The sequence below is a fragment of the Homo sapiens genome, chromosome 14, assembly GCF_000001405.40.
Source record: "Homo sapiens chromosome 14, GRCh38.p14 Primary Assembly".
In the NCBI taxonomy this organism is placed as follows: Eukaryota; Metazoa; Chordata; class Mammalia; order Primates; family Hominidae; genus Homo; species Homo sapiens.
Window position 1 is genome coordinate 93,328,661 of NC_000014.9, and position 27,086 is coordinate 93,355,746.

Here is a 27,086-nt window from a genome sequence, read left to right on the forward strand (position 1 = left end):
GTAATCCCAGTACCTTGGGTTGAGGCGGGAGGACCACTTGAGTCCAAAAGTTCGAGACCAGCCTGGGCAACATAGTGAGACCCCATCTCCTCAGAAAATTTTAAAAACTTAGCCAGGCGTGGATGTACGCACCTGTAGTCCCAGCTGTTCGGGAGGCTGAGATGTGAGGGCTGTTTGAGACCAGAGTTCAAGGCTACTGTGAGCCATAATCACACTAGTGTACTCCAGCCTTGGTGACAGACCCAGAACCTATCTATCTTTAAAAAAGAAAGAAAACATAGGGGAAAAGCTTCCTGACACTGGATTTAATAATGATTTCTTGGCTATGACACCAAAAGCATAAGCAACAAAAGAAAATCTAGGTAAGCTGGATTTCATCAAAATTAAAAACTGTGTGTACATCAAAGGACGCTATCAACAGGGTGAAAAGGCAGCCTACAGAATGGGAGAAAACATTTGCAAATCATGTCTGATAAGGGATTGATATTCAGCATACATAAGTAACTTCCACACTCAACAACAAAAAAAAATCCTAATTAGAAAACAGGGAAATAATGTGAATATTTTTCTAAAAAAATACAAAAGATCAATAAGCACATGAAAAGATGCTTAACATCACCAATCATTTTTAAAAAATGCAAACCAAAAACACAATGAAATATCACTTCATACTCATCAGGATGAATATTAGGAAAAAAAAACCCAAACAGCAAATAACAAGTATTGGTGAAGATGTAGAGAAACTGGAACCCTTGTGCACTGCTGGTGGGGTTGTAAAATTTTCTGGATATAAAATTCATAAAATAAATGAAAGCAGAGACTCAGATATTTTAACATCCATGTTCACAGCAGCTTTATTCACAACAGTCAAAATGTGGATGCAACTTAAGTGCCCATTGAGGGGAACTTAACAAAATATAAAAATAACATACAATGGAATATTATTCAGCCTTAAAAAGAAAGCAAATTGTGACACATGCTACAATATGGATGGACCTTGATGACATTATACTAAGTGAAATAAGCCAGATATAGAAGGACAAATACTGTATAATTTCACTTATACGTGGTACTTACAGTAGTCAAAATAAAAGAGACAGTAGAACTGTGGGTGCCAGGGGCTGGGGGTAAGGGAAAATGGACAGTTTCGGTTTAGAAATATGTAGTCATGAGCCTAAGAAAACTCCAAATGAAAGAATTCTACAGATGGATGGTGGTGATGGCATGGCTACACAACAATGTAAATGTACTTATGCCACAGAACTATACACTTAAAAATGGTTAAGATGGTAAATTGTATGTGGATTTTACCACAATTAAGCCCACAGATATCTGCTATCCAAATCCTTCCTACTGACTTTATCCGGGTCTAAGATCTCCTATTTGGGTTACTACAGCAGCTACTGTCTTCCTTGGTTCATTACATTCTCTCCTCACTCTAACTTAACCTGTAGATCATTAACAGGTTTACCTTCCTGGTTTACCACATTAATCCCTGGCCTCCAAACTTTCAAAGGCTCTCTATACCTTGCACAACAGGATAAAAGTAGAAATCTCCTCAATTCAGCACTCAAACTCTTCTACAGACAAATAGCTTTCCAACTGACTAAAGTTTCCTAACGAAAACATTCTCCTCAGGAAATTCAGTTGTCAGCTCATCCTAGTCTCCTTCTATTTCCCTCCCCCTAAGCTAATCTTCACTTTACACTCTTGCTTTTTCCTCACAAAGTAACTGCTACAATCTCTCGGTAAATCTAAACTTTCATAGGCCAGCTCAAATCCGAAGTTTCCCAAGTTCTTTGGACTCTTGGGGTCTCACTCATCTCTCTCTACCCTGTATACCAACAGCATTCTTTGCATTAGTAGAACTCACTAGATTGTCTTCGAGACTCATGTTGGTACACCTGATCTTTCCAATAAGAACTTGAGGGAAAAGTCTATATGTTAATGGCAAAAACTGCAGTTACTTTTGCACCAACCTAATATTATGTTTCTTTCCTTTCTTCCACATCATTCATCTAATGCAAAACAAAAAGCAGACCTTCAACAGTCACCTATGTAATTTTGGATGTGTGAGCTTCCGTGACTAGAATCTGAAATCAGAATAACTTTGGCATTACTGCACTTCCGAAGGTTTACCTGAGACACACTATAAAAATGCTGTGACTCAAGATGATACCTGGAAACTAGGTAGTGTAACCTAGAAATCAACACAGGTGCTTTAAATCCTAAAATCAGAGTCTGATAGAAAAACCTTGTTTAAATGCTGGTGTTGGGACACAAAACAATACAGTAGTCAGGTTTTGTGGGACAGAATATTGACCTATGAGTTTTACTGAATTCATGCAAGAATGAGCCATGCTAAAACTGGGTGAAAATGTAGTCATGAGCCTAAGAAAACTCCAAACGAAATATCACTCCGTTTTTATTAAGTTCAGGTTAGGAAAAAAAAAAAATCTTCATCAGTTACTTGAAGTAGCTGTCAGAATGAGACAGAGGCTCTCATTTTCGCTTTCAACTTTATTACACCAAAACCCTATGGATAGGGGTAGGTAGTGAATGGTGAAGAATGCAATCAATGAAAAGTAAGCAGCTCAGCAGTGTAGTAACAATGAGCTCTCTAAATGGGGTAATGGGGTGTAGAGGCCTACATCTTAGTTTTGGTCTAATCCATCGCCAGCTGTAGGATCCACAACAAGTCACTCGCCTCTCTGGGTCTGGTTTCCCGGCTCTAAAACAATATTCACACCTTTAGATCTCTAAAAGTTTTTCTGACTCCAAAATTCCATGACAAGTCTAATAACAGTTGCTATTAACAACGTATGATTCTTGCAAAGCAATTTCAAGTCTTTCTTCCACATTTCAGGAAGAAAGCAATTCATTTCAGCAATCTAAAGGAAACAGATGCTATTAGGGACAAAAGATTGTTAGTTGACCAGACCGGGCGCGGTGGCTCACGCCTGCAATCCCAGTAGTTCGGAAGGACGAGGCGGGCGGATCACCAGAGGTCAGGAGCTCGAGACCAGTCTGGCCAACATGGTGAAACCACGTCTCTATTAAAAATACAAAAACTAGCCGGGCGTGGCAGCGGGCGCCTGTAATCCCAGCTACTTGGGAGGCTGAGACAGGAGAATCGCTTGAACCTGAGAGGCGGAGGTTGCAGTGAGTCGAGATCGCACCACTGTTCTCCAGCCTGGGTGACAGAGCGAGACTCCGTCTCCCCCCCCCCAAAAAGGTTGTTAGTTGAAAAAGCTAAGTAATTCTGTAAAAATGTCTACTTTCTCATTACAGTAAGATGTTTTCGCAGAGTTAACAGTGCTCTGGTGTAGATAACCAAGACTGCTTCTGTAAATTAGGCCTACTCCAGAGTACTTATTATCTGTGCTGGTATGTGAAGACGTGCAATTGTAGTTCACAGGAGAAACAACACTCCTCAGAGTTTCTTGAAAAACGGTGAGAAAGTTCTCACCCTCGGGGTAAAGCTAGCAAACACTGTGCAAATAAGGTACTGAAATATGCACACTTTTTGCCATTCAAGTAGTCCAACAAGCACAGCCTCCTCTTCTTTATCAAACACTCGGTATTGTCTCCCTCCCAACCTGTCAAAGCTCAATTCCAGGTTTATCCCGCAATAGTAACTTACCCGGACAATCTAACTTCCCCTGGGAGTAGCAGTCCTCAGGCCTGCTCCCTTCCCAGACCCCGCCGGCCACTCTCACGCCCACCCCTGGCGGTCGCAACCCCGCACCCGGGTAAACACGCGCCCCCGTCTCGGGAGCGGTTTCTCAGCGTCCTGGGAGCGACGGGTCCCGCCCCTCGGCGCCCGGAGCCCAAAGCCGGCCGGGCTGCCGTCGCGACTCCCTCGGGCCGCTCTCCCCGCCCCGAGCGCCACACCTCGCGCCCCTGCCCCAGGGACGGCGGCGCGCTCCAGCCCGCCCCTCGGAGCGCACAGAGACCGGCCAGTCCGGCGCCGCCGCGCCTCAGCCCCAGACGGACGACTGGCCCCTCCCCGCCCGGCGCCCCAGCGCCTCCCGCGGCGGCTTGGCCCCAGCCCCGGCGCCCCCACGCCTAAGAACAGCCCCTTCCTCTCCCGGACGCCCCGCGCCACACCGGACACAGCCTCGGCTCCACAGCCTCAGAGACACCAAGGGACACTCACCCCGGAGGCTCCTCCCGCCGCTGCTGCTGCCGCTGGGACCGCTGCCGTCGCCTCCGCCGCCGCCGCCACCAGCACCGCCGTCCGCACCGGCGCCAGCACCCCCGGCCATCCTCCTCCCACCGCCGCCGCCGCCGCCCTCTCCTCTCCTGTCAGTGGCTCAGGCTCCGGGACTGCTCCAGGTTCCCCTCGCCGCCATTTTGACTCCTAGACGGAGCAGGAGGGGCTCGGTTCGGCGTGGCCCTGGGGCGCCTGCGCGGCGCTGCGGAGCCGGCCGGAGCCCCCGCCCTCCCCTGCCGTCGTCCCGCTCAGGGTCACGTGGCCCGACGTCGCCGCGCGAGTCGGGCCGCGTGGGGGGGCGGTGCGTTCGCTGGATCCATGGGAGCGGAGTGCGCGCGCATTATTTTTGCTCGTCGGCTGGGAGCCGGGCGTCGGGTCGCTGGGAGTTTGCCTCTTGTGGCAGCATCCTGCTTAGTCCAGCGAATTGTGACACATTATTAAATGTATCAGAATATAAGAACTGTGTCACTACTACGTCACCAGATGGCCATTTCCACGAATTCATGTTTCCGTTCGGCGGCCGGCGTCCCTCGGGTGGTCGCATGCAATGAGTGCATCTTTCTCGAGAACAACTCTTCCGCGGAAAGTCATTGCTGACAGTCCTGGCATTCCGGTGGCTGCTTCTTGGCAGTGAGCACTTGTCTATCGTAAGCACTTGTCTGCATGGTACTTTTACAGGCACCACCTTGCTACTTGTGTAGTAGGTTAAAAAATAATCTTTAAGACACTGAAAAGTTTTCCTTAACAAGATACCCCTGTAAACAAAGGACAAAATTGATGAAAACACACAGTCGCCACGTGGGAGAGCCAAGTCGCTCTTCCCTAGATGCCCCTTGTTTGGGGGTTTGCAATAATTTCAGCGATGCAATAACAAAAATACTGTATTTATGGGGCACTGTCGTTTTCCAGAGAGATCCATGGTTTCATTTGAACGCCAAAGCCACCCTTTGTGGTAGTCAGGATAGGTGTTTTTATTGCTGTTTTACAACCAAGGAGACAGGCTCAGAAATACTAACAAGTAGGCAAGCCAAGATCAGAACCCAGGCATTCTGAACCCAGTGAGGAGGCACCGTTACACCTCCTTTTCCTCTGATAGACATTAGCAACTCTGGGAATTTATTTGAAAGTATTGTATTTGCATTTTCAATCTCTACCCATTGTTTAACAAGTTTTGTGTCACACAGTTTTTTGTTGTTGTTGTTCTGAAACCACCTCTAAGCTTCAAAGGATAAGAGCAATTTGGAATTTTGTGATGTGTTTTTAACCATCTCTTGACCCTCCATTATTTTATGCTTTTCATATTCAGTTGGAGACAATATCATTGTTGTTTTCCTCTGGACTTCCTTCAGATTTGTATTTTCCTCACCCTCATTCTTCATCACCTTACTTCCTTGAAAAGGATAGCTCTTTCCAATTTGTATTACTTCATTTTCTTTACCCATCTCACCCTTTTCACCCTCTTACCCAATCCTTGAAGGTTTGGAGATTGTAGCAGAGATTGTAGCAGTCCCTTGCCTGAAATTCCCCTCTAGCTGGTAAGGGTCACTTCAGTTGAACATACAGCCTCAGGGCGATAGACAAGAAATGCATGGAAAAGTGAGAAAATATAAAAGAAATAGGTCCATCTAATTGGAGCCAATGATTACCTCTGAGTGTCCACCTCTTGTTCCACACTTTTATACTTCCCCAAAGGCGTAAGTGAACCTTATCTAAATTCAAGCCATTTACTGTTATTTTCCATCATTTTACCTTTGTCTTAATTTGCTAAATACAGTTAACACTTGAACAACACGGGTTTGAACTGTGCGGATCGATCAATGCAACCTGGTACATGGGATTCTAAACACCGTATTGAGAGGGCCGACTTTTCTTATACTCACATTCCACAGGACGGACAGGCAGACTTGAGTATGCTTGGATTGGGGTATATGTGGTGGGTCCTGGAACCAATCCCACGTATATAGTATATGGGGGATGACTGTATTGCATTAACTGAAAGAGCTATGATTAGCAAACTAAAAAGCGGTGTGTAAACACTGCTTCTTTATAATTTATGGAAATGTTAAATAAGATCAGTCCCCACTGTTTACACTTATTACTAACCTTTATTACTTGACTTTGCTTCTATTTCCTAGCCACAATTTAAAAAACAAAATTAAAATGGTATCAACAACAATAGAATTCTAAGTAATTTCAGGATAACACTTTTTCTAACAGCCTTTGATGTGGAAATCTAAAACTTTTTGAAAAGCCAAGTAAGGTCTGCTGGTTGCACCTTGTCCTTTTGTCTATCTGCACAGCTGGAGACTTCTAGTAGACTGTTTGGATCTAGAAACCATTTGTAAGTGATCCATGATTTTTTTCTACCCTTTAATTCATTCACTGTTTCCTTATTATACCATTTAACTGTACTTTTGAGATCCTGAATTAGCTCAGTTTACACACTCATCAGAATTTAGATGTTTATTTTAGTTCAGTCCGATACACATTTAAAGTATCCAGTACCATGTGCCAAGCACGGTACTACATGCTGGGGGTAAAAAATAAATGGATCTTTGTACTTAAGGAGCTTAGAATCTAAATAAGAAGACAGAGTGAAAAACATTTTTTTAAGGCTAGTGTTAAGATGGTACTAAGTAGTGGTTAACAGCATGCATTCTAGAATCAGATAGATCTGGATGGCCATATGACACAAATAGGTCAACCAGAACCTTTTCTGGAAATTTTTGCCACACTCTCAGAGGAGATGTTTCTTCTTACTCTATTTCTCCGGGATTATGACTCGAAAGGACATGTAAATTGGCTTTGTTTGCCAATGAGGAGAAAGCCATGTGCGGTAGGAAAGGAGGAAGACCATAAACAAAGAAACAAAGTGAGAGAAAGGAAAACCATGACATCATTTGAATACCTGGGCCTACCTGGGCCTGAAACCAACCCATCCCTGGTCTTTTCATTTTTAGAAGCCATTAAGTTGCCCTAACACCTCTTTTTATCTTAAGTTAGTTGGAAATGGGTAAAAACAGTGAACTTCTGTGGCTTTCAACCAAAAGTCCTGAATTTATGTTTTGTTCCTTTCTCCACTCCCTCCATCAGTGAATGGCATCCCATCCACCTGGTCATCTATGTTGAAAATAAGAGTAATCAACATTTCATGGTATATTCCATGGTCTGTCACTCCAGTCTTTTCCTTCCTTTGTACCCCCCTTTTTTACCACACATAACCATCCACTGAAACCCATTCCCACACTCATCTTCCTGGAAATACAGGATGGAAGCTGGGTTTTTGAAATTAAGGAGAAAAGACAAATTTTATCTCCCCCTATTTCTCTGCATGTAACAATCCTGTTTTCATGCATTTTTCTGAATTTCCTGAAGTCTAAAAGGTGAAGAGGATTGAAAACCCCAGAACAGTGATAAGTACCTTGTAGATGCTTAATTAAGAAGTGCTTAATAATTATTCAATTTTCAATTTTTTTTTTTCTTGAGACAGAGTCTTGCTCTGTCACCCAGGCTGGAGTGCAATGACGCAATCTCAGCTCAGTGCAACCTCCGCCTCCTGGGTTCAAGTGATTCTCCTGCCTCAGCCTCCCGAGTAGCTGGGATTACAGGTGCGTGCCACCATGCCTGACTAATTTTTTGTATTTTTAGTAGAGACAGGGTTTCACCATGTTGGCCAGGCTGGTCTCAAACTCCTGACCTCGTGATCCGCCCACCTTGGCCTCCCAAAGTGCTAGGATTACAGGCGTGAGCCACTGCACATGGCCTTAATAATTATTAAATTAACAAATAATACAATTAATAAAGGTTTTAGAAAATAATATTGGAAAATATTCATTGCCTTGGGGAAGAAAAGACAAGCAAGTCACAGAAAACATTAATCATGAAGACAAGATTCATAGATTCAACTGTATTTAAAATATGAACTTAAGTGCATCAAAATGTACTGATATGGTTTGGATGTTTGTCCCCTCCAAATCTCATGTTGAAATGTAATCGCCAGTGTTGGAAGTGGGACCTGGTGGGAGGTGTTTGGATCATGAAGGCAGATCCCTCATGAATGGCTTCACACTATCCCCTTGTGATGGTGGTGGGAGGCAGACAGGTTCCTAGGTGGGAAGGGGTGGGTCCCTGGTGAAACCCCACCTTCAAACCAGAGATGGCCTAAAGCCTGGGGGCCAGGCTGCCAGTTCCCAGTGAAGTCCACGACCTGGAGTGAGAACTTCCTTGATGCCTTTCAGCCAATAAAGTAGTGCTTTTTCCAGGCCCGCCCACAGACCAATTAGCATGCATTTCTTCCTGCCCATGGACCAATCAGCATGCACTTCATTCTGAGCCAATAAAAACCCCCAGACCCAGCCTAACTCACAGACTCATAGAGTCTACGCACTTTGGGTCTTGGCTCCTCTGAGAGCTGTTTGGTTGCCCAAAAAAGCTCTTCTTAAGTTTGTTTCCCCTCCAGTTGTCCATGTAACTTATTCTTCCTTGACATGGGACAAGAACTCGGGAACCTTCGAGTGGCAGGAGTGAAAGGAGCTGTAACACTTTCCTGACTGGCTAGCTGACCTGTGGATGGTGACATACTCCCAGACTGTAGGAGTGAAGAGTGGCGAACCTTCTGGGGCCCAGACCTGGGGATTCCCCAACCCAGAGTTGTAACACTATAGCCCTCCTGCCCTCTGCAGGTGCTGGGCTGCCACCTCACATGATAGGAAGCAGTGGCAGGGCTGGGCCAGCCCAGGAGCTGCAGCCTGGAGTGGGGTGGTGGGATTGAAAGAGCTTTAACACAAATGGGCTGAAACATGCCCCCCTGAAACACACCCCTCTGCTTGCCATGCTGTGGGTGACAAGGAGGAGAGAAGAGCTGCAGCCCTTCTGGGAGCCTAGACCTCAGGGCTCCCCAAACTAGGGCTGTGACATGCTGTAACACTCCCTTTGGGGCTCTGTGGTTCCTGGTGTTTCCAAGCTTTTGGGTGCCACTGTGTTTGCCTTGTCCAGATGCTGGTGCCCACAGTAGAAGCCGCTTGTGGTATGTCTGGTCCAGCTGCAGCCTCACATGGAGCTGGTGTCTATGCCAGTGCCTGGAGCTGCCCACCTCACCCCAGCAGCCAGTGTACCTGGCTGTGTGCAGTGGCCAGATCCCATGCTGGCTCACTCACATACCCCTCACTGCTCTGCGCCTGGCTCGCCCTTGGCAAGCATGGGATCCAGGCTGGTAGCACAAGCCGAGCGCAGCCTGCCAGGCTGAGTGGGCAGAATGAGCCTAGCAGGTGTGAGCAAAACTCAAGCAGAGGTGCTGCCGGCCACAGAGGTTTCCAGCTGGCGAAGCAACACCTGAAGGATCCTGTGACATTTTGGGATGAGTGAGTTCTCTGAATTCACTGGTGATCTGGTTGTTTAAAAGTGTGCACCACCTCCCACCGACCAGTCCATCTCTTGCCATGTGACACTGCTTGCTCTCCCTTTGCCTTCCACCATGATTATAAACTTTCTAAGGTCTCACCAGTAAGGCCTGCAGAACTGTGAGCCAATTAAACCTCTTTTTAAAATAGATTACCCAGACTTAGGTATTTCTAGCAACACAAAAACGGACTAACACATACACAGTGGGGGAAAAAGACAAGCCATACAATGGAAAAAGATATTTGTAATACATAAAACCAAAAAAGAGCTTATATCCAGCATATGTAAAGAATGCTTACAATTTAGTAAGAACAAGACAACCAAACAGGAATGACAAAAGACTTGAACGGCTGAGTGCAGTGGCTTATGGCTGTTATCCCAGCAGGTTGGAAGGCCCAGGTGGGTGGATCTCTTGAGCCCAAGGGTTCAAGACCAGCCTGGGCAACATGGCAAAACTCTGTCTCTATGAAAAAAAGACAAAAATTAGCTGGGTGTGGTGGCATGTGCCTGTAGTCCTAGCTATTCAGGTGGCTGAGGTGGGAGGATCATTTGAGCCTGGGAGGTGGAGGTTGCTGTGAGCTGAGATCACACCACTGCACTCCAGCCTGGGTGACAGAGTAAGACCGTCTCAAAAACAAACAAAAAAAACTTCAGACAAATTAAATTTAATAGAGTTTACTTGGTTAAAATGATTTGTAAATTGGGCAGACCCCTTAACCAGAAGAGGTTCAGAGTGACTCTAGAGCTGCTATGCAGTCTGAGAATATTTATGGATAGGAAAAGGAAAGTGATGTACAGAAAATGGAGGTGAGGTACTAAATAGAGCATCCTTGACATAAGTAATGCCATCTTAGAAAAAGACTCCATCATATATTTTAAAAGGCATCATGCCAACAGGGTACAGATGTTCACACAGAGACAACCCCCAACCAGATTAGAGTGTAACCCTTTACTATCAGCCCTCACCAGATGACTCAAAGACTTTAGCAGGACTTGATCAGCTCTAGATGGCCATTTTTTTCTTTATTTTTCTTTTTTTTTGAGACAGAGTCTCACTGTGTTGCCCAGGCTGGAGTGCAGTGGCGTGATCTCGGCTCACTGCAAGCTCCACCTCCCGGGTTCACGCCATTCTCCTGCCTCAGCCTCCCGAGTAGCTGGGACTACAGGTGCCTGCCACCACGCCCGGCTAATTTTTTGTATTTTTAGTAGAGACGGGATTTCACCATGTTGGCCAGGCTGGTTTCAAACTCCTCACCTCGTGATCGACCCGCCTCATCCTCCCAAAGTGCTGGGATTACAGGCGTGAGCCACTGCGCCCGGCCTAGATGGCCATTTTAACAGATACTGTCTTTCTGTTACTCGTGGTCAGCACCTGGCATTTGCCTCTGAAGGCTCTGCCCAAATCACAGACTTTTCCTTGAAAGATGTTGATGACTGTCTGGATTAGCTCAGGACATTCTGTTTGTCCGTGTTGCTCTCCTTGTACTGGTTTGTTAACCCCTTTTACTATTTTCTTTTCTCCTGATGTTAAATTTTACTTTGATGTGGAAATTTTAATCTATGACATTTACACATTAAATATGCTAGTATGTATGGTTGCAATATTGACTGACTTGTGGATTGGCTTGAGTCTGTGCCCCCATGGCTCTGACTAGAGTGAACGGGAAGTAATAAGGAGAATGGCCTGTTTGGTTACTCTATTAGCTCATGGCTTTCGTGATTGAATAAGCATCAAAAAATGTTTGACCTTGTAGAAAGACACAAAAGTGCATGGACCTGGTTATGTCTGACCTTGTGCTGTTCATGACAGCTATAGAAACACCTGGACTGGTTACAACTTGGCAGTTGCCTTATTTGAATATGGTTTTAAGAGTTGGACACCTATGCTGGGTGCGGTGGCTCATGCCTGTAATCCCAGCACTTTGGTAGGCCAAGGTGGGCGGATCGCGAGGTCAGGAGATCGAGACCATCCTGGCTAACGCGGTGAAATGCCATCTCTACTAAAAATATAAAAAATTAGCCAGGCATGGTGGCGGGTGCCTGTAGTCCCAGCTACTCGGGAGGCTGAGGCAGGAGAATGGCATGAACCCAGGAGGCGGAGCTTGCAGTGAGCAGAGATTGCGCCACTGCACTCTAGCCTGGGCGACAGAGCAAAACGCTGTCTCAAAAAAAAAAAAAAAAAAAAAAAGAAGGCCACCTATGACTGGCCTGGCCAAAACTCTGTGATTAGTACGAAAGTAGTTTACAATCTGTTTATACATCCAGTCAGGTTACAGTTCACTATGTAGGAGAAACTTTTTTTTTTTTTTTTTGAGACAGGGTATCACTCTGTTTCCCAGGCTGGTGTGCAGTGACATGATTATAGCTCACTGCAGTCTTGACCTCCCCAGCCTCAGATGATTCTCCCAACTCAGCCTCCTGAGTAGCTAGGCCTACAGATGTGCACCACCATACCTGGATAATTTTTGTATTTTTTGTAGAGATGGGGTTTTGTCATGTTGCCCAGGCTGGTCTCAATCTCCTGGGCTCAAGCAATCTGCCCATCTCAGCCTCCTAAAGTGCTGTGATTACAGGTGTGAGCCACCATGTCTGGCCTACGAGAAACCTTTAGGCCCAAGTTAAAATACGTAAGGACGCAGCTTCAGGCTACACTTAATCTAATAATGGATACACATACTGTCTGATTTAACCTCCATATCCACATTCTAAGAGAAATATGCTTTATTTTCCTGAGGCTATGTGGTTAGTAAATGATAGTGCTGGAATTTGACCTTTGATCTTTTGGACCCCAACTGCCAATCTTTTCATGTCAGTATAACAGAAATCCATTGAAGAATATCTAGATGTAATTCAGGAGAAGAAGAGGAATGTGAAATTTAAAAATGAAAAGGTGGCCGGGTGCAGTGGTTCACGCCTGCAATCTTAGCACTTTGGGAGGCCGAGGTGGGTGGATTGGGAGTTCCTGAGGTCAGGAGTTCGAGACCAGCCTGACCAACATGGAGAAACCCCGTCTCTACTAAAAATACAAAAATGAGCCAGGCGTGGTGGTACATGGCTGTAATCCCAGCTACTCAGGCGGCTGAGACAGGAGAATCGCTTGAACTTGGGAGGCAGAGGTTGTAGTGAGCTGAGATCGCACCACTGTACTCCAGCCTGGGCAACAACTGTGAAACTCCGTCTCAAAAAGAAAAAAAATGATGAAAAGATGCCAGGTGTGGTGGTTTATGCCTGCAATCCTAGCACTTTCGGAGGCTGAGGCAAGAGGATTGCTTGAGCCCAGAAGTTTGAGACCATCAGCCTAAGCAAAATTGTGAGACTCTGTCTCTACAAAAAAAAAAAAAAAAAAAATTAGCTGGGCATGGTGGTGCATGCCTGTGTTCCCACCTACTTGGGAGGCTGAGGTGGGAGGATTGCTTGGATCCAGGAGTTCAAGGCTGCAGTGAATGTAAACCAAAAATAAAATTCTAAGGCCTCCCCCACCATCTAAATGAACCCCTCCTCTCTGCCAAGGGCATGCCACAGTTAACCCAACAGGGCAGCCATTAAATCTTAAAGCTCCAAAATAATCTCTTTTGACTCCATGTCTCACATCCAAGACATACTGATGCAAGAGGTGGGTTCCCAAGGCCTTGGGCAGCTATTCTTGTGTGGCTCTGCAGGATACAGGCCCCGTGACTGCTTTCACAGGCTGGTGTTGAGTGCCTGTGGCTTTTCCAGGTGCATGGTGCAAGCTGTTGGTGGATCTAACATTCTGAGTTCCGGAGGATGGTGGCTTTCTTCTCACAGCTCCACTAGGCAGTGCTGTAGTAGAGACTCTGTGTGGGGGCTGCAACCCCACATTTCCCCCTCTCCATTGCCATAGTAGAGATTCTCCATGAGGGCTCTGCCCCTGCAGCAAACTTCTGCCTGGACATCCAAGAGTTTTCATACATCCTCTAAAATCTAGGTGGAGACTCCCAAAGCTTAACTCTTGTCTTCTGTGCACCCACAGGACCAATACCACATGGAAGCTTCCAAGGCTTGGAGCTTGTTCCCTCTGAAGCAATGACTCAAGCTCTACCTTGATCCTTTTTAGCCATGGCTGGAGCTGGAGTGGCTGGGACACAGGGCACCATGTCTTGAGGCTGCACAGAGAAACAGGGTCCTGGGCCCACCCCATGAAGCCATTTTTCCTTCCTAGGCCTCTGGGCCTGTGATGGGAGGGGCTGCTGTGAGGATCTCTGAAATACCCTGGAGACATTTTCCTCATTGTCTTGGCCATTGACATTTGGCCTCTCTTTACTTATGCAAATTTTTGTAGTTGGTGGCTTGAATTTCTCCCCACAAAATGGGTTTTTCTTTTCTACCACATGGTCAGGCTGCAAATTTTCCAAACTTTTATGCTCTGCTTCTGTTTTAAGCATAAGTTCCAATTTCAGACCATCCATTCATAAATGCATATGACTGTATGCTTTCAGAAAAAGCTAGGTCACATCTTGAATGCTTTGCTGCTCGGAAATTTCTTCTGCCAGATACCCTAAGTAATCTCTTGCAAGTTCAAAGTTTCACAGATCTCTAGGACAGGGGCAAAATGCTGCCAGTCTCTTTGCTAAGGCATAGCAAGAGTGGCCTTTGTTTTAGTTCTCAATAAGTTCCTCATCTCCATCTGAGACTATCTCAGCCTGGACTTCATTGTCCATATATCATACTATCAGCATGGTATCATATATCATACTATCAGTATTTTGGTCAAAACCATTCCACAGGTCTCTAGGAAGTTCCAAACTTTCCCACATCTTCCTGTCTTCTTCTGAGCCCTCCAAACTGTTCCAACCTCTGCCTATTACCCAGTTCCAAAGTGACTTCCACATTTTTAGTTATCTTTATAGCAGTACCCCACTCCTGTTACCAATTTTCTATATTAGTCTGTTTTTACACTGCTATAAAGAACTACCTGAGACTGGATAGTTTATAAAGAAAAGAGGTTTAATTGATTCATAGTTCTGCATGGCTGGGGAGGCCTCAGCAAACTTACAATCATGGTAGAAGGCAAAGGGGAGCAAGGGGCATGTCTTCTTATATCATCTTCTATTACTGTTGTGCTTGCAATCCAAGTGTGTTACTGATGTTGCCAGTTGCAGAACTTGAATATGTTTCCCACTTTTGCAACTCTTCTGCTTTTGTTGCTTACTTATCTGAGTATCTCGATCATTGAGGTTGTGCAATTGTAAAGACAGATGCAAATACAAAGAGAAACACTTTGTTCCTCAAAGGCCTTTGGTTCTTTTTTTTTCCTCCCCTATTTTTCAGAGACTTTTGTTCTGAAGCCTTTGGTTCTTGAATCAGAATTAAACATGTTTTTCTAGAGAGGAATGAATTTGAGATATTTGGGGCTGAGGTAGTGCAATCTTAATTCATTATATAATTTTCTAGAACTTTAACACCAGTTTATTTAGAGCATGAATATTTATAAAAATCACATTATAAAAGGTAAGTGGGCGAGGGTGTCTTTCTCATTCATTGTGTACATACAGCTCAGAAAACCTGATCTCTAGGTTATAGCTCTAATTAAGTTCTTTTATATAACTGCAGAAGGAAGTTCTTGCATTGTGGGTCACTGAGAATACATCGAATCCCAGCCCACTAAACCCTTTATTGAAAATTGTAGAGGTTTGAGTTAACAGTGCTAGTCTTTTGTGACTTGCAGAAATTAAACTGAGGAATGTTGTTTGTATTGGTAATTTGAGCAGCTAAAAGAGCTGTCTCCTGGGGTGGGGGTGGGTGGCAGGGAGCTTAATTGTGTTGTGGCTGAATTTGGAGTCACCACTGTCGAAAGTGTTTTAAGGCTTTTGTTACAGAGAAAGACCTAAAATGCTTAAATCTCACTTGAATTGCACTCTCTTCTAAACTTCTCAAGATTAGGATTAAACCAGTCAAGCTTGCCTATTATTGGGCTCTTTCTCACTTTACTTCAGAATTTTTGTTGCTTTTTAAAAATTAAAAATGGGGTATTACCCAAAGAAAAAAGTCTTGACTAATATCGTCTTTCTTAAAGCTCTTTTGTTGTTAGCAATAGAAATGCAGCACCACCTAGTTTAAGCCCAAAGCAGGATTTATCATAAAGTATATAAAGAGAGGCCCAGAACTCAAGGAGAGGAAAGTGTCCTAACTTCAGAATAGGGAGAATTCAAACCAGGGCTTTGAACACAGGCAGGATATTCCCTCTGGTTCTTATCTCTGGTTCTTTGAGCAGCTTGGCTACATTATTAACTCACTGTGGAAGGGCTTTCTTGCTAGGCAGGGAAAAAAAAACATGGCTCCCAAGTTACAACATCCATCCCAACCAACAGACTGGGTCCCAGCCCTCTCTTTGGTCCAATATTTGAGTCAAGTAGTGTAACAACTGTGGCCAGGAAACAGAGCAATGTTGCACTAAATCATTTCTTACAGGACTCGTGTAAATCACAGGTGCTCAAATTATTATCTGGGGATATCTAAGGCAAAATTAGAGTTTACCTGATGTGACTGGGCAGGATGAGCCAAGGGAAGACTGAGAACAAGGAGATGAGGTTAGGGAGGTGGCCAGCCATGGTTCATGCAGGTCCTTGATTGGTTAGGGTAAGATTCCAGAGCACAGTTGCCCAGTGGAAATGTAACATGGGCTGGGCATGATGGTTAACTCCTGTAATCCTAACATTTTGGGAGGCCGAGGCAGGTGGATTGCTTGAGGCCAGGAGTTCAAGACCAGCCTGGGCAACATGGTGAAACATGCCCCAGAGTTAGGAGGCGGGGCCTTTGGGAAGTAATTAGATCATACCACAGCCCTCATGAATAGGATTAGTACCCTTATAAAAGAGGCCCTAGAGAGCTACCTTGTTGCTTCCATCATACGAGGACACAACCAGAACAAGGAAGTGGGCCCTCACTGGACATCAAATCTACCAGCACATTGATTTTGAATTTCTAGCATCCAGAACTGTAAGAAATACATTTCCGTCATTTATAAGCCATCCAGTCTGTTGTATTGTAACAGCCTGAACAGACTGAGACAGTAACAGAAAGGAACAAAAGTAACTGACCTGCTTCTTCATATTCATAAGCATGAAATGACAACCAAGGATCATAAGATACTTGAATAAAACTGGCAAGTTCAAAATAAATAAATAGAATGTACGCTAAAGAAACACAGTTCATGGAATAGAGATAACTTTTTAAAAGTTCAGATTAATATTCTGAAAGAAATCTAAAGTGATAATATCTATAAAATACTAACAGGTGACTGTAAAAGCAAAAAATAGTATGTTTTAAAACTATAATTCTAAAATAAAAAATCATGGGCTAGAAGAAAAAGTCAAGGAAATCCTGCAAAATGTAGAACAAGGGACAAAACGTTGATGAGTGAGAAAAAGGTTGAAAGACAGAGGTGACCCGCTAAGAAGGGCCAGTGTCCGTCAATAAGAATTTTAGGTTGAGAACAAAGAAAACAGAGAAGCAAATAAATAGGAATAGTGCTCCTATGGCTAAAGAACCATGACTTCAGATAGAAAGGTCTTACCCACTGCTAATCCATATGAATGGAAAAATACCCATATCTAACAGTATCCTGGAGGAACGTCACAATTCCAAAGACAAAAAGGAATGCCTAAAAGATTCCCAAAAGGAAAAAAGAGGGTACTCAAAGGAATGACAACTATATTGGCATTATATTTATCGGCTCACTAGATGCTGGAAAAGAAAGGAACAATGCCTTTTGAAAATCTCTGAAGGACAATGATTTTGAGCCCAGAGTTCTATAACCATTCAAATTAGCATTTAAATGGAGACCAATATATATATATTTTGATTTCCAAGGACTGAGGAACTTTATCACCTACAAACCCTTCCTGAAAGAACAGCTTAAGGATGTACTACAGCAAAACGAAAAGAAATCTAAGAAAGAGGAAGATACCAGGCTGCAGGAACAGAGGAATCCAGAGAAACCCTAGAGTGTTACTCGTGCAATAGGCCCCCAAAAGAAATAATGTGAAGACACAGGATCATTGTAGTGGATAAAGTTTTATTACAGTACTAAATTTAAAAATCACAGTATATTTACTTTTCCCTCAAGAGGGTCTGGGCACAGTGCCTCATGCCTGTAATCCCAGTACTTTGGGAGGCTGAGACAAGAGGATGGCTTGAGCCCAGGAGTTTGAGATCAGCCTGGGTGACACAGTGAGACCTGTCTCTACAAAAAAATAAGAAAATTAGCCGTAGTGACAGATAATTACATCACTGTTTCTACTGGGTCCAAACACTCTATTTGACCCTGCCATGAATATTTTTTATATCATCAGCCGACTATAGAAACTTGTTCTTGGTTTTCAGTGTTAAGAATTAACCTATAGACATTTTATGGAAGATTTAATTTGCATTAGAAACAGTGTGCTATAAACTCTGCCAATGCCAGGGCATGTTAAGAGGTATATAAAGTATAGGTAGAGAGGAAGACAAAGGAAAGGAGTAGGGGTGCCAAGTCCCTCACCTTACCCTGCAGAAAAGAGATACTTAGTGTGAGGTGGGGTTGGGGCTCAGGGGAGGGTGGCAGGAGAGTTTAGGAGAGGATAGGACACGTGGGTGGAAAGTGAGGTGAATGAGGGCTGGGAGGTTGCAGGGAGCCCTGAGTGGAAAAGGCGGGGCAGAGCAGGGGGTACTGAACTGAAGAGAGTGGAGCAGAGCAGGGGTGTGCTGGGTGGAAGGGGTGGTGCAGAGCAAGTGGTGCTAAGCAGAGGGGGTGGGGCAAAGCACGGACTGCTGAGTGGAAAGGGCAGTACAGAGAAAGGAGTGGTGAGCGGAAGAGGCGGGGCAGAGCAGGAGGTGCTGGGCAGAAGGGGTGGGGTAGGGGGCGAGGGCAGAGCGCCCCCTCGTGGCTGGGGCGCCTGCGCAAACCAGCTGCCTCACGAGCACTGGAGCTTGCGTTACTTGGCCTCACCTCACCTGTGCTGTCCACGCCTGGCTTTGTCTCACCTGACGCGATATGCCTCTCCTGCGTGGGCGCTGTCCTGCCCGCCGCCACTACCGCCGCTTGGCCCTGCTCGGCCTGCAGCCCGCTCCCCGCTTCGCCCACTCGGGGCCCCCGCGCCAGCGGCCCCTGTCTGCCGCGGTGAGTTGAGGCCCAGCCATCATGGTGGGCGGGAAGCGCGTGGCCCTGGCGGGGCGCCCCGACGGGTGGGGAGAAGGGAGGACACGGCGTGCAGGCCTCGCGTGGGAGGCTCTTGTGGCTTGGTCGCCGTTGGGGGAGGTTCCTGTGGCTTGGTCGCCTTTGGGGGAGGTTCCTGGGAGAGGGTCGCGGTGAGGATGCCGTCGTCGGGCACAGGGGCGGAAAGCCCGGGACCCTGAGGAACGCGCGGGGATTGGGCCTCCTTCGTTGTTACCCTTTACCGGCACCTGGCTCGGGGGCGGGGCTGTGGTTTCGCGGAGGAATGATTTACCATCCTCGGACGTCCTCGGCACTGCGAAGATCTAGCGTTTTCGATAAAATGGTGGAAATCCTGGGCCACATCGAAGTTCCAGAGTGCGAAGGTTGGAACCGGAGACCCCTTAGATGAAAAATGAATTAAAAAAAAAAATCAGGTGATCCATGAATCGATTTTCAGCATTTTAGATTTCACTAGGCGCCTGTTTCTAGGACAACGGTCTAGGTGCTCAAAATGTTTTTTTTAAGCACTTTTTGTTAGGCAGCAAGTCACTGGCCTAGGAAGCCATACTCAGCAGCGCGTGTCATCTTCTCTTCCAGGAAATGGCTGTTGGACTTGTGGTGTTTTTTACGACCTTCTTAACACCAGCTGCATATGTGCTAGGCAACCTGAAGCAGTTCAGAAGGAATTAGATGGAAGATGATGTTGAACAGCTGTTAACGTCCAAAAAACTTTCAGAAAAAGCTGTGTTTTTGTTAACGAGCAAAATTGCCTAGTTGAGTTGATGCAACCATTGTGGTATTCACTTTCCTCATGTTTATGATGAATATTTTGCACTTTTTTAGTACTGTGCATTATATAGATGTATAGTCAAAAATGTTCTGCTTAAGTGTTAAATAAAACGGAAACACTTATTCGTGCTTGGTAATATGTGTGCAGATTATTTTCTAAACATCGTGAAAGCTGATGAAAATTTACCGAGAACTGCTGTGAAAGGTCTGACTTAGTGACTCAGGGAGTGACATTGTTACTATATGGGAGTGAATGTATCTAGTGACATCACCCTTAAAAGATTAGATGTGTAGCTGTGAGGTAATATAAGTTTAGCTAAATGGTTTTTATGTTCTATTAGTACTGCCATGCCACACTTCACAATTTGCTGTGAGAAGTACAACCATTTCTTTGCCTCTTTAAATGACTACACGTCAGAATGTGAAGAATGAGTACATCTCCTATTTTAATGATTTTATTATCTTCTCTTAGTCTTCTGTGAGGTTTGAAGAATCATACACATCTTTGAACTGTCTTAGCTGTTGATGATGCTGTTATCATGGGCAACATAGTTCAACTCTGAGTCTTGGTTTCCTTATCTCTGTAATGGGGACTTAAAATTGCTGTCTTGAAGTGATGTTGTGGAAATAAAACATTGAACAAAGAAAGATAAAGTACCTCTCAACATAGTACCTGAAACAATAGTCAATAAATAGAAGTTGGGCAACCCGCTGGGGTCCCCTTCCGCACTGTGGAAGCTTTGTTCTTTCGCTCTTCGCAATAAATCTTGCTGCTGCTCACTATTTGGGTCCGTGCCGCCTTTAAGAGCTGTAACACTCATGGCAAGGTCTGCAGCTTCACTCCTGAAGCCAGCGACACCACGAACCCACCAGAAGGAAGAAACTCCGGACACATTTGAACATCTGAAGGAACAAACTCCGGACACACACCATCTTTAACAACTGTAACACTCACCGTGAAGGTCTGCAGCTTCATTCTTGAAGTCAGCGGGACCAAGAACCCACCAATTCCGGACACAATAAGTGATTAACAGCAGATATACCAATTGTGAGAAACACATATTCACCTGGCCAAACCCTTGGAGACATGAAGAACAGCAGAAGCGAGACTTTTAATGGCAGACTTGCAAGACTGGCCGTCTGGTAGGCAGGCACACCTGGGGCAGTTACAGCAGGTAATTTATCCCCTAGCATGTAATAAGTCCCTCCCCGAGTTCCTCACTAGTCAAGTACTATGGGGTTACAATCTTCCTGGATGTTGCCTAAGTTTCATTATCCCCCTATAAGGTTATACCCCAGTCCCCTTCCCCACTTAAGTTTTGATTTCCCAATAACAAAACTTTCTTCCCTTTTATGGGCTGATCTCTCCTCTACATTCTGTTTGCTTATTGACCTTCTAGGTGCGTGAGCTGTGTGGTTTGTTACATCCACAGGCTGGCTGCACGTACTTAGATTTATCATGCCTTGAAAGTGGACTGTTTAAAGTGTTTTCTCACACCAATTATTTTATATCTACCTTCGCTAAATATTTCAGGTTCAATAAAAACAGCTGAGGCTTCTGAATTATTGGCAAAATGTCCTTGTGGTTAAGGTTCTTACTCAGGTGAACCTGATGTTCACAGGCTTTATAAATGATTAACAGAAATAATTTTAAATGACAACTAGTTTTGTCTAATATCTTCATTTTTCAGAAGTAATCTAGATAAACTGTTAAAAATAAAAAAAATTAAGTGCATAAAAATAGGATAAATGCTTCCAGGTAAACTTTTTATGTAATTTTAAAATCGTAAAATTATTTTGGATGCTTGTTGAATATTTGGGTCATTTCTAACTAAGAAAGGGTTATAATATGGGAAAATGTATTTCTAAAATTGTAGAGTGGTTTCGTCTATAAAATGTTCACATCTGATAGTTCAGGATTTCTTGCTTCCTAGGTTTTCACTAAAATTTAAGGTTACTAAGAATAAGAATTCTAGTTAATATATAATTCTTATATAATTCTAAAAGTTGTGTTCTTGAGAAAAAATAATTTTGTATAATTTAGAAGTTATTCAAAAGTTAAAAAAGGTAAAAAGAAAATAGGAAGTAAAAGAGATGTGAGAAAAGTTATGAATGTGAATATATTTTTGGTAAGTAAGATTGTTTAAAAATAATAATTTTATCTAAAGATCTTGTGTGGTAAATTTTTGTCTTAAAGTAAAATAACTGGTTATTTTTAAAAAGAACTGTAATGTAAGACAAGTAAGAAAGTAAAAAATGTTATAAATGGGCTGTGTAAGTGGTTATAAGGTATAAGAAACAGAATTTATAAAAGGAACGTTGTAAGTAATTAAGTTGGTTATAATTAAAAAGGAAACCATTATAATAGTCTTTCTAAAGGTTAGCCCCTTACATTAAAACAGGGGTTACTTAAGGTATTGCTTTGCTTTTAGGGAAATTACAAGAGGTTTTGATTTTTAATTATATAACCAATTTCTTTTAAAAACTTCTTAGATTCGTATCTCAGAGGTTCAACATTTGTTGTGTCTTGTTGCTTTCAGCTTTTCCTCCCCTTGAGAAGGCTTGAGATGACAACTCTCTTCCTCAGTTTTTTCATCACACCTGAAATTTTTTGCCTCTAGTTCCAGCTGTTGTGGCCTAATACTAAAATGTTTTATCTTCAAAGTCTAAAAAAGCAATGTTTACCTCCAGTATAACTTTATCTGTACTCTTGATTTTTCTTGATAAGTCTAAATTTTTCAATGTAATCAGGAATTTCTCATGCTATTACTAAGAGTCATGTATTCTCCTGCTATACTCATAACCTTGAACAGACTCTGTGTCTGATTAAATTCATGTACTCTTTTCAACAGGTTTGACTTTTGGGTTATCTTTAGATAAAGCCCATTTATGGGCTTCCCATAAAGAGAAGCAATTACACTGCAGGAAGTTTTCTTTGCCTTTTTGGTACTTGGCTTAAAAAAATGAAGATTTTACATTTTATTAATAGCAAAATAATTTCTATATTATATTCGTAGGTTTTTGATTCTTTAGGAAAACTAAAATTTAAAAGGGCTAAGGTATTTATATTCATATAACTTTGTGTATTGCTTTTAAAGTCTTTTAATTATCAATCTTTGGTTAAATGAACACATTTTTTGTTTTGGTGAAATGTTTTGAACCTTTTAACATCTTTAATAAATATTCTTGAAATAAAAAATAAATAAATAGAAGTTATTGTTTGAGGATATACAAGTTTGCTAATATTCATTCATTCAACAAATACTGAATTCCTGTGATGTGCCAGGTGTTATGTGAGGTCAGTATACCCCAAATAGACTCCTTCCTTGTTTAGCTTACAGGTCTTAGAGGGCTAATGTTTTGTTACTTTAGTATTTTTACATTTCTATCTCAAAATTTATATTGATGTATTAGTTGATGTTCTCCGTAGAAACAGAAAAAATAGGATGTGTATATATACACATTTATATATGGAGAGAGAGAGAGATTGGTTTATTTTAAGGAATTGGCTCGTGGTTGTGGAAGCTGGCAGGTCAAAAATCTGCAGGATAGGCTGGCAGGCAGGAAGACATAGGAAGGAGTTGGAGTTCCAGTCTGAGGACAGTCTTCTGTCAGAATTCCCTTTTTGCTAAGGCCAGTCTTTAAAGCCTCCGACTGATTGGATGAGGTCCACCTACACTTTGAAGGACTATCTTCTTTATTCAAGGCCTACCGATTTAAATGTTAATCTCTTACAGTCTTCACAGAAACACCTAAATGGTATTTGACCAGATACCTGGGAACTGTGGCCTAGCCAAGTTGACACAAAATTAACCATCACAATTGGATAAAATTATTTTTCGGAGTGAGAGAGCATGAAAAAGGTTGGTGATACCCTGAAATGTAAAGGTGTGAGCACAGTGGCTAATCAAAATATTAGCAGTTTCTTAAGATCTATCTTCGCTGTTCACTGGTTGCAAACCTGCTCCTAGGCCCTTTACGTGAACTCCCATCGGGACACAGGCTCAATCTTCTGATTTCTTGTATTCAGTGAGACCTTACTTTTGCTGCCAATTTTGAACTTACTTTTTCCTTCTCTAACTTTGGCGGCTTTGTATTTCAGCTTCTGATGCCTACCTTCATGTGCTCCAAATTATGGCAAAAGACAGCTTTACCCTCCTAGCTGGGGAAGAATATTGAACTATAGGAATCTTTTCCATAGAACTTTAGCACTTAGTGTTTTGAACCGTTTGACACTCAAGTTATTGAGTACTCTCATGCAATAATACTGTATGTTGGGAAATGGTACCTTATTTTGATGAATGAACTCTGTTGCCCTGTCTCATTAATTTTACACTCATAAAGGTGTCACATTCAAGGTACAGTTTGTTCTTGTTTGGGGTAGTTTTGTTCTATAAAGGCACTGTGAACACTGAATTAATGAATACTGAACTCCTAGGGGAAATTCAGGGTTAAGTTCCTGTGAGCCTCTGGTCATAACATTTTTGTCAGCCTCTCAGTCTATAACTTATTTTATGTCTGTTTCTTTTTAAAAACACCTTATTTAATATACAGATGCTCTTGGACTTAACAATGGGGTTACCTCCTGATAAACCCATTGTAAATTGAAAGTATTGTAAGTACTGTAAGTTGAAAATGCATTTAATCCACCTAACCTGAATATCATAGCCTACCTTAAACGTGCTCAGAACACTTATAAATCAAGTGCTGTTTTAAATGGAACCTATTTATAGTTTATGCACATATGCACAAACATAGACATACAATATGATACTTTGGTAGGTTCAACAGTTGGGGGAATCACATCTCTAATGTCATATGTGATGTCAGCCTTCAATCAGCTGAGCTTCCTTATTCCACTGTTCCCACCACACCTTGACTTGACATCACTGAGATTTCTACTTCTTTCTTCTCCACAGGACCCTGCTATTTTTCCTTTTACTTATCGAACCTTATCTTTTTGTAGTATGTGGAACTACTTTATTTTTTATTTTTATTTTTTGAGACAGTATCTCACTGTGTCGCCCAGGCTGGAGTGCAGTGGCACAGTCACAGCTCACTGAAGCCTTGAATTCCTGGGCTCAAGTGATTTTCCCACCTTGACTTCCCAAAGCTTTGGATTATAGGCATGAGCCACTGTGCCCAGCATATTCAGCATATTCAAACTCTGTTTGAAATCACCTTTGCCATAGTATCACACACTGTGGTTTGGCTGCATCTTATTTTCCTGCTATGAGTTTGATAGTTCTTTCTTAGTCTTAGCCTCTCTTTTTTTCTGTTGTAAAATTTATTCTTTCTTTGTATTCTCATTCCTTGAGTAACTTCAGTTACCATATACTTGTTTACTCCCATATCAATCACCCTGTCCCATATCGTTCTCCTGAAATCCAGATAATTTTGTGTATTTGCTTAACATTTCCTCTTGAATATTGTGTAGACACTTCAGATTTAAAAATCCAAACCTGAAACCTTTCTCTCCTCAAACTTGCTCTTCTTCCTGTGCATTGAGTGATTCGTTCAATATTTGATCACGTTTGGACACTTACTGTACACCACTGTACACTGTGCTAGGAACTGGATATTTACTGAAGAACCAAAAAGAAAAAGTCAGTGCCCTAACTTGCTCTAGAGGAGGAGATAGACAAACATGTAACCTTAAATACAAAGACAAAGTCAGTGCCCTAACTTGCCCTAGAAGAGGAGATAGACAAACATGTAACCTTAAATACATAATCAAAAATAGGGTATGGAAAATAGCCATGGGACCTAACTTAAACTGGGGGAGGAGGGAGTCACAGAAGTTATGTTTGCTAACATGTTATTTAAGTTGACCTGAACGATAAATAGATGAAGAATGGGGGAAAAAAACTAAAATTTTAGGCAGAAAGAACATCATATATGACACCCTGAGGGGGCCAATATCTTTAACATTTTGTAGAATTGAAGAAAGCTATGTTAACTTTAAGGGTTTTGAGTGAGAAGGAAAGTGATATGAGAAGATGATGATGGGCAGGTGAGAGCCAAATCCTTACAGGCTGTGTTTTATGGACATTTAAAGTTTTATTGTAAGTACAAGTTGAATACCTCTAATTTGAAAATCTGAAATCCAAAATGCTCCAAGATCTGAAACTTAGGAGTGCTGACATGATGCTCAAAGGAAATGCTCATTGGAGCATTTCAGATTTTGGATTTTTAGCTTGGGATGCTCAAGTGGTAAGTATAATGCACATATTTCAATATCCAAGAAAATTCAAAATCTGAAACACTTCTGGTCCCCAGCATTTTTTTCTTTTTTTGAGACAGGGTCTTACTCTGTCACCCAGGCTGGAATGTAGTGGTGCTATCGTGGCTTACTGTACCCTTGACATCCTGGTCTCAAGTGATCCTCCCACCTCAGTCCCTTGAGTAGCTGGGACCACAGGCATGCGCCACCATGCCCAACAAATTAAAAAACTTTTTTTTTGTAGGGACGGGGTCTTGCTATGTTGCCCAGACTGGTCTTGATCTCCTGGGCTCAAGTAATCCTCCTGCCTTGATCTCCCAAAGTGCTGGGATTACAGGCATGAGATACTGCACCCAGCCCTAAGCATTTTGAATAAGAGATATTCAGTCTATACAGGAAAAGGGTTTTGAACAGGAAAGGGTTAGGATCTGGTTTTGGTAAGACAACCCAAGTACTTTATGAAAGTAAATATAATGAGAAGTAGATCATGTTTGGCTTGAATCTCAAAAGTAAGCTAGTATGGTCATTTCAGCCACCAGAGATAGACATGGAAGCCATCTTTGTCTTTAGTGTAGCTCTAATTTTACAGCCTTTTTTTTTTTTTTGACAGAGTTTCGCTCTTATCACCCAGGCTGGGAGTGCAATGACGTCATCTTGACTCACTGCAACCTCCTCCTCCTGGGTTCAAGCAATTCTCCTGCCTCAGCCTCCTGAGTAGCTGGGATTACAGGCGCCTGCCACCATGCCCGGCTAGTTTTTTTTTCCCCCTGAGACAGAGTTTTGCTCTTTCGCCCAGGCTGGAGTGCAGTGGCACGTTCTCAGCTCACTCACTGCAACCTCCGCCTTCTGGTTTCAAGCAGACTCTCCTGCCTCAGCCTCCCAAGTAGCTGGGATTATAGGTGCCTGCCACCATACCCAGCTAATTTTTGAGTTTTTAATAGAGACGGGGTTTCACCATATTGGCCAGGCTGGTCTCGAACACTTGACCTCGTGATCGGCCTGCCTTGGCCTCCCAAACTGCTGGGATTACAGGCGTGAGCCACTGCACCCAGCCAGTTTTTTGTATTTTTAGTAGAGATGAGGTTTCACCATGTTGGCCAGGGTGGTCTCGACCTCCTGACCTCCAGTGATCTGCCCGCCTTGGCCTCCCAAAGTACTGGGATTATAGATGTGAGCCACCGTGCCTAATTTTACAGTCTTAATAATTTTACATTTTTAACTTCTCTTACATTGACCACCTCTTTCCATCCAGGTTCAGCTTCATCTCTTAACAACTCTTAACTGTCTTCCTAACTATGCTCTTG

The 27,086-nt window shown here is 43.2% G+C and overlaps 3 protein-coding genes across 8 annotated transcripts in view, besides 1 other annotated feature; 2 read left to right on the forward strand and 1 right to left on the reverse strand.

Annotated features, from left to right (window-relative positions):
- The window catches only part of BTBD7 (BTB domain containing 7), a 95,487-nt gene extending 91,111 nt beyond the window's left edge, over positions 1–4,376 (reverse strand). For 3 of the 4 annotated variants that reach the window (NM_001289133.2, NM_001002860.4, NM_018167.5), the window contains exon 1: positions 4,160–4,376. In NM_001289133.2, the coding sequence (NP_001276062.1) occupies positions 4,160–4,268 (109 nt within the window). In that variant the 5' untranslated portion in view covers positions 4,269–4,376. Of the gene's footprint in view, positions 1–3,643; positions 3,925–4,159 lie in introns of those variants that run through there. The other variant, XM_011536939.3, reaches the window with a different exon arrangement.
- UNC79 (unc-79 subunit of NALCN channel complex) overlaps positions 4,522–27,086 on the forward strand; it is a 374,695-nt gene continuing 352,130 nt past the window's right edge. For 2 of the 3 annotated variants that reach the window (XM_011537027.3, NM_020818.5), the window contains exon 1: positions 4,522–4,863. The gene's annotated coding sequence lies outside the window, so the exon portion shown is untranslated. Of the gene's footprint in view, positions 4,883–19,367; positions 20,697–27,086 lie in introns of those variants that run through there. The other variant, NR_144398.1, reaches the window with a different exon arrangement.
- Positions 15,112–15,613: an enhancer, noted in NCBI's record as "NANOG hESC enhancer chr14:93810118-93810619 (GRCh37/hg19 assembly coordinates)". NCBI's record gives its function as "activates a minimal SCP1, AML or CMV promoter by ChIP-STARR-seq in primed H9 embryonic stem cells {active_cell/tissue: H9 hESC(primed)}" and the evidence as "EXISTENCE:reporter gene assay evidence [ECO:0000049][PMID:30033119]".
- Positions 18,522–19,696, forward strand: COX8C (cytochrome c oxidase subunit 8C). The gene is made up of 2 exons (NM_182971.3): positions 18,522–18,734; positions 19,368–19,696. Exons 1-2 carry the CDS (start codon positions 18,609–18,611, stop codon positions 19,458–19,460), a joined length of 219 nt encoding a protein of 72 aa, NP_892016.1. The 5' UTR covers positions 18,522–18,608; the 3' UTR covers positions 19,461–19,696.

Bases quoted from the DNA above. Each gene is read 5' to 3' on its own strand.
- COX8C (NM_182971.3), top strand. From the start codon at position 18,609: ATGCCTCTCCTGCGTGGGCGCTGTCCTGCCCGCCGCCACTACCGCCGC. The intron at 18,735-19,367 runs GTGAGTTGAGGC...CTTCTCTTCCAG, and splicing joins AGCGGCCCCTGTCTGCCGCG to GAAATGGCTGTTGGACTTGT.